At 52.5% G+C, this 18,989-nt stretch overlaps 2 protein-coding genes and 1 long non-coding RNA gene across 3 annotated transcripts in view, besides 9 other annotated features; all 3 read right to left on the bottom strand.

Annotated features, from left to right (window-relative positions):
* The window catches only part of ESPNL (espin like), a 32,948-nt gene extending 30,034 nt beyond the window's left edge, over window positions 1-2,914 (bottom strand). Inside the window, exons 1-2 of the mRNA NM_194312.4 lie at window positions 2,541-2,914; window positions 1,123-1,313 (exon numbers count right to left, since the gene is read on the bottom strand). Of these exons, the coding sequence (NP_919288.2) occupies window positions 1,123-1,313; window positions 2,541-2,834 (485 nt within the window). The 5' untranslated portion in view covers window positions 2,835-2,914. The remainder of the gene's footprint in view (window positions 1-1,122; window positions 1,314-2,540) is intronic.
* Window positions 537-706: an enhancer, noted in NCBI's record as "experimental_57276 CRE fragment used in MPRA reporter constructs". NCBI's record gives its function as "activates a minimal promoter by MPRAs in K562 erythroleukemia cells, with activity observed for the introgressed 2:239011274 variant allele {active_cell/tissue: K562}" and the evidence as "EXISTENCE:reporter gene assay evidence [ECO:0000049][PMID:34662402]".
* Window positions 2,915-3,840: 926 nt separating the features above from the next.
* UBE2F-SCLY (UBE2F-SCLY readthrough (NMD candidate)) overlaps window positions 3,841-18,989 on the bottom strand; it is a 132,469-nt gene continuing 117,320 nt past the window's right edge. The window contains exons 15-19 of the long non-coding RNA NR_037904.1: window positions 12,000-12,036; window positions 9,310-9,393; window positions 8,732-8,834; window positions 6,378-6,453; window positions 3,841-5,052 (exon numbers count right to left, since the gene is read on the bottom strand). This is a non-coding gene — a long non-coding RNA (UBE2F-SCLY readthrough (NMD candidate)). The remainder of the gene's footprint in view (window positions 5,053-6,377; window positions 6,454-8,731; window positions 8,835-9,309; window positions 9,394-11,999; window positions 12,037-18,989) is intronic.
* The window catches only part of SCLY (selenocysteine lyase), a 38,413-nt gene continuing 23,264 nt past the window's right edge, over window positions 3,841-18,989 (bottom strand). The window contains exons 8-12 of the mRNA NM_016510.7: window positions 12,000-12,036; window positions 9,310-9,393; window positions 8,732-8,834; window positions 6,378-6,453; window positions 3,841-5,052 (exon numbers count right to left, since the gene is read on the bottom strand). Of these exons, the coding sequence (NP_057594.5) occupies window positions 4,899-5,052; window positions 6,378-6,453; window positions 8,732-8,834; window positions 9,310-9,393; window positions 12,000-12,036 (454 nt within the window). The 3' untranslated portion in view covers window positions 3,841-4,898. The remainder of the gene's footprint in view (window positions 5,053-6,377; window positions 6,454-8,731; window positions 8,835-9,309; window positions 9,394-11,999; window positions 12,037-18,989) is intronic.
* Window positions 4,401-5,069: an enhancer, noted in NCBI's record as "H3K27ac-H3K4me1 hESC enhancer chr2:239006826-239007494 (GRCh37/hg19 assembly coordinates)". NCBI's record gives its function as "activates a minimal SCP1, AML or CMV promoter by ChIP-STARR-seq in naive and primed H9 embryonic stem cells {active_cell/tissue: H9 hESC(naive and primed)}" and the evidence as "EXISTENCE:reporter gene assay evidence [ECO:0000049][PMID:30033119]".
* Window positions 4,472-4,766: an enhancer, noted in NCBI's record as "tiled region #4740; HepG2 Activating DNase unmatched - State 18:Pol2, and K562 Activating DNase matched - State 5:Enh". NCBI's record gives its function as "activates a minimal TATA promoter and a strong SV40 promoter by Sharpr-MPRA in HepG2 and K562 cells {active_cell/tissue: HepG2 | K562}" and the evidence as "EXISTENCE:reporter gene assay evidence [ECO:0000049][PMID:27701403]".
* Window positions 5,070-5,737: an enhancer, noted in NCBI's record as "H3K27ac-H3K4me1 hESC enhancer chr2:239006158-239006825 (GRCh37/hg19 assembly coordinates)". NCBI's record gives its function as "activates a minimal SCP1, AML or CMV promoter by ChIP-STARR-seq in primed H9 embryonic stem cells {active_cell/tissue: H9 hESC(primed)}" and the evidence as "EXISTENCE:reporter gene assay evidence [ECO:0000049][PMID:30033119]".
* Window positions 5,738-6,406: an enhancer, noted in NCBI's record as "H3K27ac-H3K4me1 hESC enhancer chr2:239005489-239006157 (GRCh37/hg19 assembly coordinates)". NCBI's record gives its function as "activates a minimal SCP1, AML or CMV promoter by ChIP-STARR-seq in primed H9 embryonic stem cells {active_cell/tissue: H9 hESC(primed)}" and the evidence as "EXISTENCE:reporter gene assay evidence [ECO:0000049][PMID:30033119]".
* Window positions 6,407-7,074: an enhancer, noted in NCBI's record as "NANOG-H3K27ac-H3K4me1 hESC enhancer chr2:239004821-239005488 (GRCh37/hg19 assembly coordinates)". NCBI's record gives its function as "activates a minimal SCP1, AML or CMV promoter by ChIP-STARR-seq in naive and primed H9 embryonic stem cells {active_cell/tissue: H9 hESC(naive and primed)}" and the evidence as "EXISTENCE:reporter gene assay evidence [ECO:0000049][PMID:30033119]".
* Window positions 7,743-8,410: an enhancer, noted in NCBI's record as "H3K27ac-H3K4me1 hESC enhancer chr2:239003485-239004152 (GRCh37/hg19 assembly coordinates)". NCBI's record gives its function as "activates a minimal SCP1, AML or CMV promoter by ChIP-STARR-seq in primed H9 embryonic stem cells {active_cell/tissue: H9 hESC(primed)}" and the evidence as "EXISTENCE:reporter gene assay evidence [ECO:0000049][PMID:30033119]".
* Window positions 8,411-9,080: an enhancer, noted in NCBI's record as "H3K27ac-H3K4me1 hESC enhancer chr2:239002815-239003484 (GRCh37/hg19 assembly coordinates)". NCBI's record gives its function as "activates a minimal SCP1, AML or CMV promoter by ChIP-STARR-seq in primed H9 embryonic stem cells {active_cell/tissue: H9 hESC(primed)}" and the evidence as "EXISTENCE:reporter gene assay evidence [ECO:0000049][PMID:30033119]".
* Window positions 10,766-10,935: an enhancer, noted in NCBI's record as "experimental_57269 CRE fragment used in MPRA reporter constructs". NCBI's record gives its function as "activates a minimal promoter by MPRAs in K562 erythroleukemia cells, with activity observed for the introgressed 2:239001045 variant allele {active_cell/tissue: K562}" and the evidence as "EXISTENCE:reporter gene assay evidence [ECO:0000049][PMID:34662402]".

Genomic DNA, 18,989 nt, shown 5'->3' with positions numbered 1-18,989 from the left:
TGGAGGTCTCGCTACATTGCCCAGGCCAGTCTTGAATTCCTGGGCTCAAGCAATCCTCCAGCCCCAGCCTCCCAAGATGCTGGGATTACAGGCATGAGCCACTGTGCTCGGCCCAAGTCTCCCAGTTTTCAATGGTGGAAACTTCTTTAAAAGCCGTGTGGGTCTGAGAGAGACTGTGGCCAGCCAAGGCTGAGGGTGGTGTGGACGCTCTGGAGAAAAGCCACAGAAGCGAATCCCAAAGGCCTTTGCCAAGCAGTCCAGGATGGGAACACCCGGGAATGAGAACCCGATTCCACAAGCAAGCTGTCGGGGCTTGTCCTGGAGCTAAGGGGGTGTGGGGGACTGAGGCCTCTGGGGCAGCGACAGGAAAATGAGATGCTGCCTCGAAAAGAGAAGAGCCGTGGTCAGAGGTAGGTGGGTCCCTGGGGGACAGGAAGGTTCGCCCTCAGCCAAGACAGTAGGAGGCAGAGGGCCTGTTCCTATGACAACAGTGACCTTTGTAAGCAGGGCGAGGACTGGAGGAGCTTCCAGGTGGGGAGGGAGGCCATCTGCCTTACTGGCTGTCCTGACCCTGGTCCTTCCTCGTTGCCCATCCACTAATTCCAGCAGGGGGCACAGGGCCCCAGAGACGATGAGGCCAGCGCCCGGCTCTAGGGGTCCCAGCACAGGGGTGGGGCAGTGCAGAGGCAGCTCCAGCCTCTGTGTCCCCAAGTCCACTAGACAGTCCCCACTCCTGTCAGGTGATGGGAGGGTGCCCTCACAGGTTGCCAGCTGCCCACGTCCCCAGCTGTTTTAGGTCCCGAGATGCCCCCAGGTGGGGCCAGAGCTGCCCTGGGCATCACAGCAGCATCTTGCCATCGTCACCGCCCCCAGCCACTCTCCAAGCTGAAGCACTGGCCTGTGTCCCCTTGGGCCCTGGCATGGCACTGCCACTGCCTGGCCTGTGGGTAGAGGCCTCATTGCCCTTGGCTCCTGCCAGCTCACCCCCACAGTGACAGCATGCCCGCCTGCAGGATTCACCTCAAAGGCCACCAGCCTGTCCTCTTGGCCCTCCATGGTGCAGCCTCCCCTTGGCCAGCTCGCCCCAGGCTGCCCCCCCAGGCGGGACTTTGGGCTCCTTACCTGCCATGCGCGGCTGTCAGGAGCTTGAGGCAGGTCAGGTCCCCACTGACGGCAGCGTGGTGCAGCGGCCGGGCTCCCTCCCGGGTCTCTAGCGTGGCCGAGTGGCCCTCGTGGAGCAGCCACTCCACCAGCACTGGGTGTCCAAAACGGGCGGCCAGGTGCAGCGGGGAGACGCCCGAGGCATCTTGGTCCTACCAAGCCCCGGGTAGGTCAGTGAGTGGGGGGTAGGCCGTGAGGTCAGAGCCAGCTGCCGGAGGTGGGCCCTGGGCGAGGGCTCACACTGCCTGCAACCCAGTGAAGGGGCTTCCAGCTCCTTCCTCCTTCCCTCCGTTTCTGCCTGCAACATGGAGGGAGGTGCTCCCTGCTGGGACTGAGGTGAGAGGAGGGCCAGGACTCAGGTCCAGGTCTTGGGAGGCCACCTCTGGCAACCCTGCCCTCTCCTGGGCCCGTCCCCAGTGTGGAGAAGGCCCTTTCCCACGCAGTCGGGTGCCCGCAGACACCTGCCCACTCTGCTCATGGTCAGAAAGGCTTCCCAGGACACCTACCTCTGGCTGGTCCCCTGCCCCAGTGCCCTCCCGCTGGCCACAGGGTCCCGGGGCCAGGGAGCGTTCCTACCACAGGTGTCAGGGGTCCAGCAGACCTGGGCCTTCTCCAAGGGCCCTGTCAGAATGGATCCCCAGGCAGGCACAGCTCCCGCCTGCTGCCCTTGGGTTTGGCGGAAGGGCCGACAGGAACAGGATGCTGGGCCGGGACTCTCAGGTGCTCTGGCGAGCCAGGTGCTGGGGAACCTTCCCGCTCCGCAGTCTAAGCAGGCCCCACCGGCCCCCACCTCAACTCTGACCTCTGGGCGGCGGCGTTCTAAGGCCGGTCAGTCCTGCTCACCCTCAGCCCTGAAAGCTCCACAGGGCTGAGCGACAGCTCTAAGGGCCTCGCCTGCACAAAGGGGACTGGGCAGGCAGGATAGGGGAGGGGGGCCCAGTAGAAACGATCCGGACAAGACGATCACCATCAGCAGCCCTAACTCCCGTCCCCCAGGGCTAGGCTCCCAGCTCTCAAGCCCAAGTTCCCACAGTGCTTCTGTAAGGATCCCTTTCTAGACCCTTTGGGAGGCAGGCCCTGTGGACCAGGCCTGATCAGAGACAGGGGTCCTGATATCTGGCAAGACCCCCACTGGCAACGCCCAGCTTCCTGGCAGGGAAGGTGATAAGAAAATTTAGGAGGTGTTCTTGGCTCTCAAGCCTTTGTGCTCTGAGAGGCGTGGGGCAGAGACGGTAACCACTGACTGAGTCCCCAAGAGAAACAAAGGGCCCAGGGCCATGGAGCCCGGGGTGGCCAGTACTCTGATCCTCCGTGGCTCACACCTCCCTGGTTCCACCCCAGCCAGCTTCGTGGAGCCAGGCTGCCCCATCCCCGCTCACCTGCAGACCGCAGCCCCCCTCGCGGACCAGCCAGCACAGCTCGGCCAGGCTGCCCGTGGCAGCGGCGTCATGCGCTGGGGTGGCCCCGTTGTGGGCCCGCTGGTTGCCGGGCAGCTGGGCCCGCTGCACCAAGAACTTGACGCAGTCCAGGTGGCCAGCCCGGGTGGCGTGGTGAACCAGGCCGGCCCCCAGAGCATCGGTGATGCCCGGGCCCAGGGCGCCAGCCTCCAGCAGCCGCTCCAACGTCGCCACATCCCCATCCTTGGCGGCCACGAGTGCCCGCTGCTTCTCCATCCTCTGGCCCGGGCTCTCAGTGGCGACTCATGCACAGGCTGGGGCTTCCTGTTTCAGACGTGGATGAAGCTGCCGGCTCTGGTTACCCGATAAGCTGCCACAGGGCAGATGGGAGGCGGTGGGGTGGGGTCGGGTGGGGGGACAGGCCTTGAGGACCTGCCCAAGCCACTCCCACAGTGTGAGGGTGCCAGGTGCCTGGAGCTGGGAGGATGGAGTACAGGGCACAGGGAAAGGCCCACACCAGGCTAGGTCAGGGCTGGGTATGGCCAGCAGAGAAAGGAGGCTGGCCCTGAGGCTGCTCAGATCTGTCCAGATGGCAGGAACTTCATCTGTGGAGCGAGGGCTGAGGATACACGCCACTGAGCTTCTCACAGGAGCCCCGAGTGGCCTGGGAGACAGTTCCCCCAACTCTCACAGAAGGGCAGACCCCCAGCCGCCACCACAGTGTGTCTGAAGTAAAGGGTGCCCAGTAGGTCTACATGTTTGGCTGTGTTGACACCCACAGAGCTGAGCGCCCCGCCTCTGGGTCCCGGCCCTCGGCCCTGGAGGCTCCTAGGAATCTCTGGGGACACAGTGGCTCCACGGGGCCTGCAATGGGCTCAGGACCCTGACTTGGGTGTGTCCAGGCCTCTGAGGCGAGAAGGTGTCAGCCCCTGCCTCGGCCCCCTCTCCAACTACACGGACCAAGTCTCTGGGCTGCAGCCCCAAGGGCCCAAGTACATTTAACCCCTTTCCAGATTGTTCTGGACAATCCATAGTTCTTCTTTAGGGAAGTCAGGACCACCACAGCCTCTTCCTGGCAGCAATGGGAAGCTGCAGATGGGGGACCCATTACATTTGTAGGGGCTTCCGGAGACACAGCCTCAAGCTGGATTTCTGGGCTAACGCATCATCACACAATGGTGACCTGGGGGCTGCTGCACCCCTGGCTTCCCCCCGACAGGCTCTGTCAGATGACTTTGTGCCCAAGCGCAGTGCCCACTAGAGAAACCACAGGATCCCCAAGTCGGGCACTGAAATCTTTTATTCGTTAATTTAGTTTCTGGCAAGTGTTTCCTCAAAATCATCAAGTAGTTCCTTGAACCGTAAAACCACACATTAAAAATGTTATTCCACTGAAAATGACTCCTATGCAAATATCGACATGTGATGTGTGTCCAAATGCCAGAGCATTTTGAGAAAAGAATCCTCTGCAAATAAAATTAAGGTAAAAGCTGAGTCAGGGATGATCCGATTCCCACCCCAGGAATGACCTGGAGCTGCACCAACTCAGCGAGGTTGGAGCTGAAACCCTGAGTTAATAATGATCAAAAGGGACAAGACAGGAAGGCCTGGGGACCGTGGACAGGGAAGTGCGCAGCCCTGATTGCCAGTGGGCGGAACAGGGTCAGGCTCGGGGAAGCAGGAGGGGTGGTGGGCGGTGGGCGCTGAGCAGAGCAGGCCTGGCCGAGGCTGGGGGCCACTGTGCACTGAGGCCAGAGGAGCAGGGTGGTGGGGGCAGCTTTGGAAAGGGACTAAAAAGGGCCTGAGAAGAGACCACTCTGGAAAGGTGCATGTAGAGGCCATGATCAAAACAAAAAAATCAAGTTTCCTACGTTCATGATAGCATTTGGCTGACAATGAGTTATAAATACTTGGATTCTATCTTCCAGATAAAAACACCTTCCAGGAAAGGGCACTCACAACAGGCGTGCCCAGTTCCCAGTGGGGAGGGTGGATAAAGCTAAGTGTTTCCGCTTCACCACTGGAGGACGGTTCTATGTGGGCGGTCCCATGTGGGCGGTCCCATGTGGGCGGTCCCATGTGGGCGGTCCTATGTGGGCGGTCCTATGTGGGCGGTCCCATGTGGGCAGTCCTATGCGGCGTTGGTGTCCTGGGCCCTGTGAGCTCTGCAGGGGTCCAGGGAAGGAAACTGGGGGTGCACACTCGCTGGCACTCCAGGACAAAATGCAGAGGGGGCATGAGACAGTCATCCTGGCACAGCCCTCAGGAGGGAACTGGAGGGACAACCCTGTGCCCTGCCACGGGCTTCCCAGAAGCGGGGTGGGGAAGGCGGCCCCAGTGCTAGGCCTGGTCCTCCAGCTGCGCCACGGCCTGCTTCAGGTCCTGCACGACGAGGTCCACCTCGGCCCTGGTGGTGCTGCGGCCCACGCTGAGCCGGAGCGCGTTCCTGGCCACGTCGAAGGGGACACCGTAGCTCAGCAGCACTGGGGACGGCCTGGGGAGGGCGAGACCGAGCTGCAGCTGCTGCTGAGGGCACATGGAAGAGACACAGCCCCCCCTGCTCTGGACCACTCCCCTAGTGGGGCTCTGCCCACCCGGATGTGCGCCTGCCTCGCCTGGCATCCACCTCCTGCTAAACTCCCAGACCAAGCACACCCCTAAGATCACCCACATCAAGGTGTGGCTCAAAGTCGCCCCCGTTCTCCCTGCAGAGTTCTCTTGCACTTGGCACTCCCAGGTGACACTGCCTCCCTCTCGCACTGAGCTCTGGGGCCAGGGGCTCTCCTGTCCTTGAGGGGTCTGAGGTCCTGGAGAACACGGATGCCGACACAGACAGTGCCTTACCCATGCGGCCCACCTGAGCCACTTGGTAACTTCATGGCACCTAGCATGGGGCTTTGCAGACACTAGGGACCCAGTCAGTATCTAGCCATGAACAGATGACTGCGTGGGGACATCCTGAAGCAAGGCTGTTGGAGGCTCGAGATGTGGGCTCTGTCAAGGGGCCTGACCTCATCACACCCGGGTCCCTTTCCTCCCCTGCCCCTCCTGCAGCAGGGCACTGTCCCCCCAACAAAGGGCCCCATCCTGCCCCTCCTTTTCCCTGGAGCCAGGCCCACCACTGTCTCGCTCCAGGTGCTCCTGCACAATCCCTCTGCCCTGACCTTGATGGCCACGTGCTGCTGGCTACAGTTCCGCTCTCTCCCCAGAACCCTGAGTGTTCCTCCTGCGTCCACTCCGACCTCCCACAGGGGCCTCACGTTTTCAGCAGACCAGACCCAGAACCACTTCTCCCCTGCTGCCAGCAGGCCGCTGCTCGGGCACCCCACGCCCTCTACCCCACAGTCTCCGCCAGGCAGCCCACCCGCTCACCCGGGCCCTGCTATCTGAGAATCTCTGCTGCATCTTGCAGATGGCTGATCTGACACCTGAGTCTGCTCACACCATGGCCCTCAGGGCTCCCACTTCCATGAGGTTTAAGTAAGCACTGACACTCAGGCCATCCCCACCCCAGCCCACCCCAGCCCGCCCCAGCCCTCCCCAGCCCCGGCCACGCTGGCCCTCCAGGCCCTGCCCTCCCTCCGCCTTCAGAACTGAGCACGAGAAGCCCTCTTCTCCCGCACAAGTCCTAGTCCTTCAGATGGCAGCTTGGAAGTCACTTCTTCCAGGAAGCCCTCCCTCTGCCCCTCCTAGGGCCCAGACAGGGCTGTCCTTCACCAGCCAGAGTGCGGCCCAGTGGCCGGATCCTGCCGCCTGCCCACCACACCCAGTGCCCGGAGGACCCCTATGCCCTGGACTGGGTTTGTGAAGAGCACTTACTGGTCCCCGTGGTCCGAGTGGCACGCGGCCCCCACACTGGCCATCAGCACTCGGCACTGCGCAAGCACCACGTGGCCTGCGGAGACAGAGCACATGCCCCTGAGATGGGGCTCCAGCCAGGTTGCCCTTCTGTCCCTTCCCGGGGTCCTGCTGGGCGCAGGCTGCTTCCCTCCCTCTGTGCCACCTGGTGGAATTCCAGCACTGGCCATTCTGGCAGCTGGGGAGAGATCTCACAGCAGGAGCCGAAGAAAACGCTTCCTTTCTCCCTTGGCTGCACAAACGCAGACACTATTCTGCCTCACAAAGCTGGCCTTGAAAATCGCATTTGTAATCAACTGCCTGCTAAGACACCTGGAGTCCTGACCCGCTCCTTCCTTACAAGCTGGCAGCCCCGGCAATATCACGTCTCCACCTGTGTTCTGGATGGTAGAGACACGTGGGAGTTCTATTAAGCCAGAAGGCATTTCCCTCTTCTTTCACAAGCACAGCCATTAATGACTGCTGATGTAATTAACCTGAGAATTTCAGCCAGGTGCAGTGGCTTACACCTGTAATCCCAGCACTTTGGGAGGCCAAGGTAGAAGGACTGCTTGAGCCAGGAGTTTGAGACCAGCCTGGGCAACACAGGGAAACCCTATCTCTACAAAATATTTTTTAAAAATTAGCCAAGGCCGGGCATAGTGGCTCATGCCTGTAATCCCAGCACTTTGGGGGGCCAAGGTGGGTGGATCGCCTGAGGTCAGGAGTTCGAGACCAGCCTTGCCAACATGGCAACACCCCGTGTCTACTTAAAATACAAAAATTAGCCCAGCGTGGTGGCAGGCACCTGTAATCCCAGCTACTCTGGACGCTGAGGCAGGAGAATCGCTTGAACCCAGGAGGTGGAGGTTGTGGTGAGCCGAGATCATACCACTGTACTCAAGCCTGGGCAATAAGAGTGAAACTCCATCTCAAAAAAAAAAAAAAAAGTTATCCAGGTGTGGTGGTGCATGCCTGTAGTCCCAGCTACTAGGGAGGCTGAGGCAGGAGGATCACTTGAACCCAGAAGGTCAAGGCTACAGTGGGCTGTGATTGCGCCACAGCACTCCAGCCTGGGTGACGACAGAGTGAGACCCTGAATCAAAAAATAAATAAATAAAATGAGAACCTCTGTCTCATTTAAAGTAACACAGGTTGTCACTGAACACAAAGTCTGACCCCAGAACAAGGGGAACGTTGACAGAGAACTCTCCTTTCCATGGTGAGGAATTTGAGATGGTCAAGGAGACCCAGGCTTCACTGCCCACAAGAACGCATTTCAGCCCAGGTTCTCATGAACGCAGCCATCATGACGGTTACCCACGGGTTCTTCTTCATGGGCCAAACACGACTGCTGGGTTTCTCTGCGTGATCCAGGAAGAAGAAAGAAGCAACACTTTCATCTTCTAAGAAGTCAAAAACTTGTTTACAGATGCAGCTCATCGTGATCTCAGGGCCACTATAACCTCCTCCCAAATGACATGCGGCTGGTCAATCACCTGGACTTCCACTCTCAGGGAGTCAGGGCAGACCAGGTTTTAGGTGCATCTGGGACGGGGGTGATCCTAACTGCTCCTAGCCGAGGCAGATGTTGCAGGAAATCCAGATTTGCACTTGATCCTTACTCTGCCAGTTATTTTTGTTGTTTTTTGTTTGTTTGAGACAGAGTCTCACTCACTCTGTCACCCAAGCTGGAGTGCAGTGGCTCAATTATGGCTCACTGCAACCTCCAGGTTCAAGCAATTCTCCTGCCTCAGCCTCCCAAGTAGCTGGGACTACAGGTGCACACCACTATGCCTGGCTAATTTTTTGTAGTTTTTGGTAGAGATGGGGTTTCTCCATGTTGGCCAGGCTGGACTCAATCTCTTGACCTTGTGATCAGCCTGCCTCAGCCTCCAAAAGTGCTAGGATTACAGGCACGAGCCACTGTGCCCAGCCTCTGCCAGTTTTTAAAACTGATCACCTCCCCTTTCCCTCACTCAAATATTTAATTAAAACTGCCAACAAAATAGACAAATGTCTAGAATTTAATGTTGCTTCCTTCCCTGACGGCTTTTGGGGTGGCGCTAATGCCAGACACGAGAGTTTGCCACAGTCCACATCCCAGCAGCAGCAAAATGAGCCACGTCAGGGAGAGGAGGGGCCAGCGGCGAGAGCCCTGTGGACCACAGCACAGCCACCCGAGCCTGCTCTTGGCAACCCCAGCAAGGCCCTCTGACAGCCCGAGCTGTGTCATGCTCAGGGCAGGGCGAGTGGGAGTCACTGGCTCGGACCAGAATCCACGCACCGAGGGAGCTGTGCTCACACTCGGAAAGACCAGGGTGAGGGGCCATCACCTTGAAGCCGGGGTCCCCGGATGGAAAAGTTACAGGTATTGGGAAGCCGCTGGGTGCCTGGAAACTGGCTATTCAGATGGATTCTCTTCTGACCGAATTCAGCCTGAAAAAAATAAGTGAAATATTTGGTGACAGCTTCAAAGACACCACCACCAGCAACTGTTTGAAATTTAGACTTTTCCAGAAACACAACTTCAGCAGGTGCATACTTTTCAATCAGCATCTACCCAGAATAGTTACGGGGACGGACTATGGAAAGCAAAGTTAATTAGGAGAAAAACCAAATATTCAGAAACATATGAACCTTCCACATAAACCATGAGGTATACCACCTCTGCATATTTGATCCTGTGTCTCTGAAAAAGATCATGCCCCTGGCCTAGGGTCCTGCTTTCGGGGTTTCAGATCCCAATGTACTTTCTGCCACTGTTCTTTCTTCCCTCACTGCATCCTGCTGAGTTCCAGGCTACGCTGCAATCCCCACAGGTCCTGGGGTCTGGGAGCACCACACCCCTCCTCTCTGGGCACCTGCCCCACGCACCCTCCCCCTCCTGGTGCCCACCCCACGCTGCGCTCACTTCCAGCCTCTCTTCCAGGTAGTCGCGGACGTCCCTCATGTGGGCCTCATAAGCCTCGCAGTTCTGGGTCACCAGCTCCGCGGCCTGGGGGCAGACACACAACAAGTGGATGCACAATTCTTGCAAAATAAAGGAGGGCCAAAAAGCTTTCAACGGTACAGGTGGCATTTCCTGAAACTGCTCATTCTCCTGACAGTCACAGACAGACCATATTTTTTGAGTGCTGCCATTTGGAGGGTGTGGAAGTGCCCCAGAAACTGACTTCACCAGGTACCTCCTGACAGCACCAGGCACTGGAGATGCCTCAGCAAAGCAGCCCTGAAAGGGCTCCCTCGAGGAGCCAGCATCCCAGAGAGGCAGACGGACAAAAGCAGGGGAAGAGGGGAACAGACTCCTACCCACCAGTTGGCGCTGTGAAGGCACCTCGCAGGCCCAAGGTGGGGTGGTGACAGAGATGGCTGTACAAGGGCAGGGAATGGCGTCCCAGCAAGGGCTTTGCAGGGGACAGACAGACATTCTGTCTCTAGAACAGAGGGGCCTGGCGTGGCGGGTGGAGAGTGTGGAGGGGGTGAAGGCGCAGGGACAGATCGACAGGCCCTGCAGGCCCGGCCACGGGGCAGACGCAGTGAGGCTGAGGGAGGGATGCGATGGTCTGACTGGCCTGTCTGTTGGTCATTCTGTGGCCGTGTGGAAAATGGCAGCAGCAGGCCCCCAGGAGGCCATGGCAGGCATCCAGACCCTTGGTCTAGGGTTGGTGGCCATGAAAATGGACATGAGGCCGGTAGTGGGTGTATTCTGGAATCCAGACAGACAGGAAGGTGCTGCATTGGAGGCAGGGGACGATGACAAGGAGGGACTGAGGGCATCCCCCGGACTTCAGAGGTGAGAACCTGGATAGCAAGAGGTGCCCAGGGTGGGAAGAGGGTTGGAGGAGAGCAGTCGGGACAGGTTTTGAACTCAGAGGAATGGATCTCTCAGGACATGGGCCAGGGCCTAGCTGAGATGTCAAGTTTAAAGGCAGGAGCACAAGCTAGCATCACAGTGACAGGACAGACGGACCCACAAGGGCTCAGGTGCAGGGCTGCCAGCACGCAACCAAGGCAGAAAGGAATGGGTGAGGGAAAGCACGCTGGGGAGGGCGTGTGCAGGATGGAGTCTAGGCTGGGTGGCGGAGGGGGGCTGTCTAGAGCGCTGGTGGCATTGGGGTCTGGGCTGGGCGAAGCTGAAGAACCAGTGGGGGTGTGGTGCTGTGGCTGGGACCCAGCTGTGGCACTTGTGCCATTACAGGTGCAGATGCAGCTGCAGGAGCACGGAGAAGGTCAGGGGCTGGGGGGCTTCCAGCACTGTGAGCTGAAGCTCTACCTAGGAAGCTGTTACCGTGATTCCCATCTGGCAGCCAGGACTCAGGGAGTTCCAGCGACCTGACCCAAGGCACACGGTGAGTGAAGCTTCAAGCCAGGATTTGAACCCTGGGTATTTCAAAGCCTGTGGACGGCACCACTACTTCATCACTCAGGTCAATACGAGCAGGTACCGGACTCCACTTAAAACACACTCTTCCGGCTGGGCGTGGTGGCTCATGCCTGTAATCCCAGCACTTTGGGAGGCCAAGGCGGGTGGATCACCTGAGGTTAGGAGTTCGAGACCAGCTGGACAACATGGTGAAACCCTGTCTCTACTAAAAATACAAAAATTAGCCAGGCATGGTGGCGCATGCCTGTGGTTCCAACTACTTGGAGACTGAAGTGGGAGAATCTCTTGAACCCGGGAGATGGAGGCTGCAGTGAGCCAAGGTCGTGCCACTGCACTCCAGCCTGGGTGACAGAGTGAGACTCCATCTCAAACAAACACACACTCTTCCTTCTAGTAAATGTAGCCACAGTTATCACTGTTAATAATATAATTTTGAATATTCTAAGTAACAGGGAATCCATTCATACTCTTCCCAAGGCCCGGCCTCCTGGGCGCTAAGCCCTTTCTCTGTACTGGGGATACTGAGGCCGACATGGCCAAGCCCCTGCTCTCGGGGAAGCAGAAGGTGGGGCATACATCTGAACACACTACAGAGAAACATCAGATAGGGGAAATAAAGCAGTGTCAGGGATAGAGGGTGACAGCAGGGGACATGGGGGAACCAATGTAGCTGTGGTTCATGGAGGGTTGCTTGAAGGTGGTGGCCTTTGACCAGAGGCCGCACAGTGAGGGAGCAGCCTGCAGACGCCGAGGTGTAACCAGTACCTCTGCCTTCGCACGGCAAAACCTGAGCCTGGTTACTGTCGCAGAAGCAGGACAGGCCCCAGTGGAGGGCTGGTGGCAGGTGCTGGATTGGCCACCCCACAGACCAATCGGGGACAGAACGTCGATGGTGCGGGGGCTGCCGACGCCTTTGGGAATGGTGAACCTGCAGCTTGACACTTCACCTCTGCTGTAACAGTATCACTGTTTCTCATGTCAGAAGAGACACAGACAAGGAGTTTTTCCCTTTTAAATGCTAAACAAGTGCCACTAATCCACAGATCTGAAAAAGTACAGCTCTCCAGGTTGATAAATCAGATTCCAGGCTTTTTCTTGTCAGTCCGCTTATGAGATCACGAATATGATCTCCCTAAAGCCCCAGATTCCTACTAGAGCCGCTGGGGACACTGATGACAAAGCAATCAACTCATCTCCTCAAGCTCACCAGGGCTCACCTTCCCAAGGCCAGCAATCATTGGGGTGTTCTCTGTCCTGTAAGAAACAAGGGATTAAGCAAGAATAAACAAATGTCTCAGGAAGGAATCCTGTCTCCATGAAAGTCATTGTGTTAAAATAAAATCAAACTCACGCTACATCTTTCCTAAGCACGCGCCATGTGGCTATCTCAATGGCAGCTGCAGGCCCCAGAAACCTCCCCTGCCAAGTTTTCACTTGCCCTGGCCCAGTGAAGGTCAACGAGGCCCACTGTGGGTGATGTGTTGGGTGTTCACTGTGACAGTTCTATCTGGACCCTTTTCCTACCCAAAGCAAGCACTCTGCCTCCTGTAGGCCCCAAGGCACAGCTCTCTTTAGTCCTCACTGCCAAATCAGTATAGTATGGAACAGGGGAGAACCCTTTGTTCTCAACATTTCAGGCATCAGCAAACAAGAGGGGTGTGTGTGTGTGTGTATGTGTGCAAGCGCGTGTGGGTGTGCACACACACAGGAGATGGGCAAGAGACCCCTAAAGACAATGGCTTGCATACTCTGACCTAACAAACCGAAAAACAGAACTCATTACCCTATTTTCAGGAAAAAAAAATTAACTTAATAATTAATTTCTTAATTTTTTTTTAGATGGGGTCTCGTTCTGTTGCCCAGGCTGGAGTGCAGTGGATCTCGACTCACTGCATCCTCCACCTGCCGGGTTCAAGTGATTCTCCTGCCTCAGCTTCCTGAGTATCTGGGATTACAGGCATGTGCCGCCATGCCCAGCTAATTTTTGTAAAGACAGGGTTTCACCATGTTGGTCAGGCTGGTCTCGAACTCCTGACCTCGTGATCCAGCCACCTCGGCCTCCCAAAGTGCTGGGATCACAGGTGTAAGCCACTGCGCCCGGCCCATTAATTTCTTAAGTTTGCCTGAACAAAGTTTTCTTAAACCTCTGGACTCGGCTATTGCTTGTTTACCAATAGATATTTTCTCTGCACCCTCACCAGCATTTGGTGGTGTCTCTATTCTTATTTTAGCCATTCTGATAGGTGTTAGTGATATCTGGTGGTTTTAATTTGCATTCCCCCAATAACTAATGCTGTTGAACATCTTTTCCTGTGCTTATTACCTGGGTCTCCTCTTTGGTGAAATGTCTGTTTATATTTTTTCCCTATTTTCAGATTGAATTTTTTATATTATTTTTGCTGTTGAGTTTTGTGAGTTCTTTATATATTCTAGATACCATTTCTTTGTCAGATATGTCATTTGAAAATATTTTTTCCTAGATTTAGCTTATCTTCCCATCCTCTTAATATGGTCCTTCCCAGAGCAAAAGCTTTAAATTCTGATGAAGTCTAATTTATCAATTTTTCCTTTTATGGATGCTTTTGGTGTCAAGTCTAAGAACTCTTTGCCTAGTCCTAGAACTTGAAGATTTTCTATTTTTAAACGGTTTTATTGCTTTATGTTTTACATTTAATTTCAAGATCTATTTTGAGACACTATTTTATGAGGTGTAAGACAGGGGTGTCTAATGCTTTGGCTTCCCTAGGCCACACTGGAAGAATTGTCTTGGGCCACATATAAAATACACTAATGATAGCTGATGAGCTTTAAAAAAAAAAAAAATCGCAAAAAAAAAAAAAATCAATGTTTTAAGAAAGTTTATGCATTTGTGTTGGGCTACATTCAAACCTGTCCTGGGCCGCATGCAGCCTGCAGGCCGCAGGTTGGACAAGCTTGGTGTAAGACTTGGGTCAAGGTTCATCTTTTGCCTATGGATGTCTAACTGCCTTGGCACGATCTGTTGAAAGGCTAACTTTCATCTGCTGAACTGATTTGCGTCTCCTGCGGTTGTATCTGCACCCGTAACTCATATGGGCCTATTTCTGTTTGGGTCTATTCTCCTCCATTGATCTACTTGCTGGGATTTTGATAGAAATTGTTAGGCTTGTATATCCACCTTTGACATCTTTGGTATGTAGAATCTTCCAATCTATGAACACGGCATGTGTCTCTGCTTAGATCTTCTTCTCATCCACATTATATTATTTTCAGCATATAAGTCCTTTATATTTTGCTAGTTTATATCTGAGTAATTTTGTTTCATTGTAAATGGTATTATATTTTTAATGTTACTGTCCACCTGTTCATTACCACTATATAAAAATAAGATAGATTTTTGCATGTTTATCTTGTGTCCTGCAACCTTGCTATCCTCACTTATTAGTTCTAGGAGTTTTCTTGTACATTCCTTGGGATTTTCTTTATAGACAATCGTGTGATCTGATTAGAAACAATTTTACCTCTTCCATTCTGATCTATATGCCTTTTGCTTCCTTTTCTTGCCTTACTACGCTGACCAGAACTTCCAGCACTATGCTGGATAAGTGTGGTGACAGTGGACATCCCTGCTTTGTTCCCCCAGCCACAGGAGTAAAACATTCAGGCTTTCACCACTAAGTATGATATCAGCTGTAGGTTTTATGTAGATGTTCTTTTTCAAGTTGAGAAAGTTCCCCACTAATCCTATTATTCTGAGTTTTTAACATGAATGGTTGAATTTTGTCAAATGCTTCTGCTGCATCAAATATGATCATGTTATCTTCTTTATTCATTAGCTTGTTAATATGGTAGATTACATTGATTGAATTTTTTTATTTTTGTAGAGCTGGGTCTTGCAGTTCACCTAGGCTGGCCTTGAACTCCTGGCCTCAAGTGATCCTCTCGCCTTGGCATCCCAAAGTACTGGGAGATTACAGGCATAAGCCACTGTGACCTGCCTTGATTGCATTTTTTCTTTTCTTTTCTTTTTTTGAGATAGAGTCTTGCTCTGTTGCCTAGGCTGAAGTGTGGTGCTGCCATCTCAGCTCATGCAAACTCTGTTACCCAGGTTCAATCGATTCTTGTGCCTCAGCCTTCCAAGTAGCTGGGATTACAAGCGTCTGCCACCACACCTGGCTAATTTTTGTATTTGTAATAGAGGCGAGATTTCACCATGTTGGCCAGGCTGGGCCCGAACTCCTGACTTCAAGTGATTTACCCGCCTTGGCCTCCCAAAGTTCTGGGATTGCAGGCATGAGCTACCACTCCCGGCTCTAGATCGCATTTTGAATATTGAACCAGCCTTGCATCTGTGGAATAAATGCCACTTGGTCACAGTGTATCATTCTTTATTTTTTTGAGACAGAGTCTCACTTTGTCACCCAAACTGGAGTGCAGTGGTGTAATCATAGCTCATGCAGCCTTGACCTCCCACGCTCACTCAAGCAATCCTCCTATCTCAGCCTCCTGAGTAGCTGGGATTATAGGCATGTACCACCATGCCCAGTTAATTTTTTTATTTTTTGTAGAGGGGTCTCACTATGGTGCCCAGCCTGGTCTTGAACTCCTGGGCTCAAGTGATCCTGATCCCCTGCCTCAGCCTCCCAAAGTGCTGGGATTACACGCGTGAACCACCACACCCAGCAGTGTATAATTCTTTCTATGTATTGCTGAATTCTATTTGTAAACATTTTGTTAAATATTTTTTGCATCAAAATTCATGAGGATGTTGGTCTGTAAAGGATTTTTTTTGTACTGTCTTTATCTGGTTTTAGTGTCAGGATAATACTAGCTTCATAAAATGAACTGGGAAGTTGTCCTTCCTCTTTATTTTCTGGAAGAGACTGTATAGAAATGTTAATTCTTCTTTAAACAAAGAATTCTTCGATAGAATTCTCTAATGAAACCACCGGGCCTGAAGACTTCTCTTTGGGGAGTTTTAAAGCTGTAAGTTCAATTTCCTAATGGTTATAGAGCTATTCAAATGATCTATTTTATATCAAGTGAGTTGTGGTAGTTTGTGTTTTTTGAGGAAGTGGTCAGTTTCATCTAAGTTGTCAACTTCCTATGTGTAGAGCTGTTTGTGGCATTCCCTCATTATCCTTTTGATGGCTGCAGGGCCTGGAGTGGTACTCCTTGTTTCATTCCTGATGTTATAACTTCTCTGTTTTTTTGGTCAGTCTTGCTAGAGGTCTGTCCTGGGCTCAAGCAATCCTACCATCTATCTCAGCCTCCCACATAGCTGAGACTACAGGCCCGTGCCACCACATCCAGCCATTTTTTTTTTTTTTTGTAGAAACAGGATTTCACCATGTTGCTCAGGCTGGTCTTGAACTCCTGGCCTCAAGCAATCTACCTGCCTTGACCTCCCACAGTGCTAGGATTAGAAATGTGAGCCACCACGCCCAGCTAATGTTGTCTTTTTTTTTTTTTTCAGACGGAGTTTTGCTCTTGTTGCCCAGGCTGGCGTGCAGTGGTGCGATCTCGGGTCACCACAACCTCTGCCTCCCGGGTTCAAGCGATTCTCCTGCCTCAGCCTCCCAAGTAGCTGGGATTATAGGCATGCGCCACCACACCCGGCTCATTTTATATTTTTAGTAGAGATGGGGTTTCTCAATGTTGGTCAGGCTGGTCTCAAACTCCTGACCTCAGGTGATCCACCGGCCTTGGCCTCCCAAAGTGCTGGGATAACAGGCGTGAGCCACCGTGCCTGGCCAATATTGTCTTTTTTTTTTTTTTTTTTTTAAAGAGACAGGGTCTTGCTCTGTTGCCCAGGCTGGAGTGCAATGGTGTGATCATAGCTCACTGCAGCCTCGAACTTCTGGGCTCGAGTGATCCTTCCCCCTCAGCCTCCTGAGTAGCTGGGACTACAGGCACGCACTGCCATGTCGGCTAATTAAAAAAAATTTTTTAGAGATGAGATCTTGCTATGTTGCCCAGGCTGGGAACTCCTGTCCTCAAGCAATCCTCCTGCCTTGGCCTCCCAAAGCAGGGGGATTATAGGTGTGAGCCATCGTGTCAGCCTGTGTTGTTGTCACTTTGCCAGTTCCAGTGAAGCACAGACCTCATCTCCTATTATGTTCCTTTACCTTTGCCTTTCTATAATTATCTTAAATATGTCCTTTATGTACATTTTGAACCACATCAGATATTGCTAAGATTTTTGCTTCTGCTATCAAACGTAATTCAGAAAACTCTAAAGAAGAAGGAAAGCCTATTGTATTTGGTGATAAATTCTTAGTTTTTCTTCATCTGAGAATGTTTTGATTACTTCTTCATTCCTGAAAGATATATTCACTGGGTACAGGATTCTAGCTTGACGGTTTTCTCTGAGCACTTGAAGAAAAATAATTGTGTCCCTTTCTTCTGGTCTTTCTGGTTTCTGATGAGAAATTCAGTCATCCAAATTCTTTTTCCCATACTGGTGAAGTGTCATCTTTCTCTGACTGCTTTAGAGAATTCTGTCTTTCATTTTTAGAAGTCTAATCATATGTCTCTGGCATAGATTTCTTTGCGTTTATGCTATTTGGGGTTTACTCAGTTTCTTGATTCTGTATGTTTATGTCTCTTGCCAAATTCAGGAAATTTTTTAGCCATTATTTCTTCAAGCACTTTTTCAGGCTGTCATCTTTCTCTGTTTCAGGGATTTCAATGAAACGAATGTTATATCATTTGTTATCGTCTCATAGGTCCCTGAAGCTCTATTTTAAACCCCATTCTTTTTATTTTTTTGAGACAGAGTCCCGCTCTGTTGCCCAGGCTGGAGTGGCACGATCTCGGCTCACTGCAACCTCTGCCTCCTAGGTTCAAGGGATTCTCCTGCCTCAGCCTCCCGGGTAGCTGGGACTATAGGCGTGTGCCACCAAGCCCGGCTAATTTTTTGTGTATTTTTTTTTTTCAGTAGAGATGGGGTTTCACCGTGTTAGCCAGGATGGTCTCGATCTCCTGACCTTGTGATCCGCTCACCTCGGCCTCCCAAAGTGCTGGGATTACAGGTGTGAGCCACAGCACCCAGCCGAAGACCCACTCTATTTCTTCTCTGTGGTCTGGATTTCTATTGTTCTGTCTTTCAGCTCATAGATTTCTTTCTCTGTCCTCTTATTTTTCTATTAAGCCCATCCACTGAGCTTTATATTTTGGCTGCTGCTGTTCTTAGTTCTACAATTTCCAATTTCCATTTGGTTCTTCTTTTATGTTGTCCTTCTCTTTGCTGACACTTTGTTTCACTTGTTTCAAGGGTGTTCACAATTTCTCATTGAAGCATTTTTACTGTGTCTGCTGTAAAATATTTGTTAGATAATTTTAACATCATCATCTTAGTGCAGGCGTATATTGATTATTATTGTTCATTCAATTTGAAATCTTTCTAGTTCTTGGTATGATGAATGATTTTCACTTGAAACCTGGACATTTTTGCCTTACTTTATGAGAACCTGGATCTTATTCAATCTTTCTGTTTGGGCTGCCATTTTCTGACGTTGTGCTGGCAGGAGAAGGGGTATGCCACCATCACTGCCAAGTGGAAGTAGAAGTCTAGGTTTCTTTTTTTTTTTTTTTTTTGAGATGGAGTCTCTCTCTGTCACCCAGGCTGGAATGCAGTGGTGCGATCTCGACTCAGTGCAACCTCCGCCTCCCGGGTTCAAATGATTCTCCTGCCTTAGCCTCCCGAGTAGCTGGGATTACAGGAACACACCACCACGCCTGGCTAATTTTTCGTACTTTTAGTAGAGATGGGGTTTCACCATATTAGCCAGGATGGTCTCGATCTCCTGACCTTGTGATCCACCCGCCTCGGCCTCCCAAAGTGCTGGGATTACAGGAGTGAGCCACCGTGCTGGGCTTTTTTTTTTTTTTTTTTTTTTTGAGACAGAGTCTTGTTCTGTCACCCAGACTGAAGTGCAGTGGTGCCATCTCGGATCACTGCAACCTCAGCCTCCCGGGTTCAAGCAATTCTCCTGCCTCAGCTTCCCAAGTAGCTGGGATTACAGGCATGCGCCACCACACCTGGCTAATTTTTATATTTTTAGTAGAGATAAGGTTTTACCATCTCGGCCAGGCTGCTCTCAAACTCCTGACCCCAAGTGATCTGCCCACTTCAGCCTCCCAAAGTGCTGGGATTACAGGCATGAGCCTGTGCCTGGCCAACATCTAGATTTTTTACTTGGCTGATGTTGACACCCAATGGGAGG

This window comes from Homo sapiens, chromosome 2 (genome assembly GCF_000001405.40).
Source record: "Homo sapiens chromosome 2, GRCh38.p14 Primary Assembly".
NCBI lineage: Eukaryota > Metazoa > Chordata > Mammalia > Primates > Hominidae > Homo > Homo sapiens.
The sequence above is the reverse complement of the archived record's forward strand: the minus strand, read 5'-3'. Positions and strand labels throughout refer to the sequence as shown.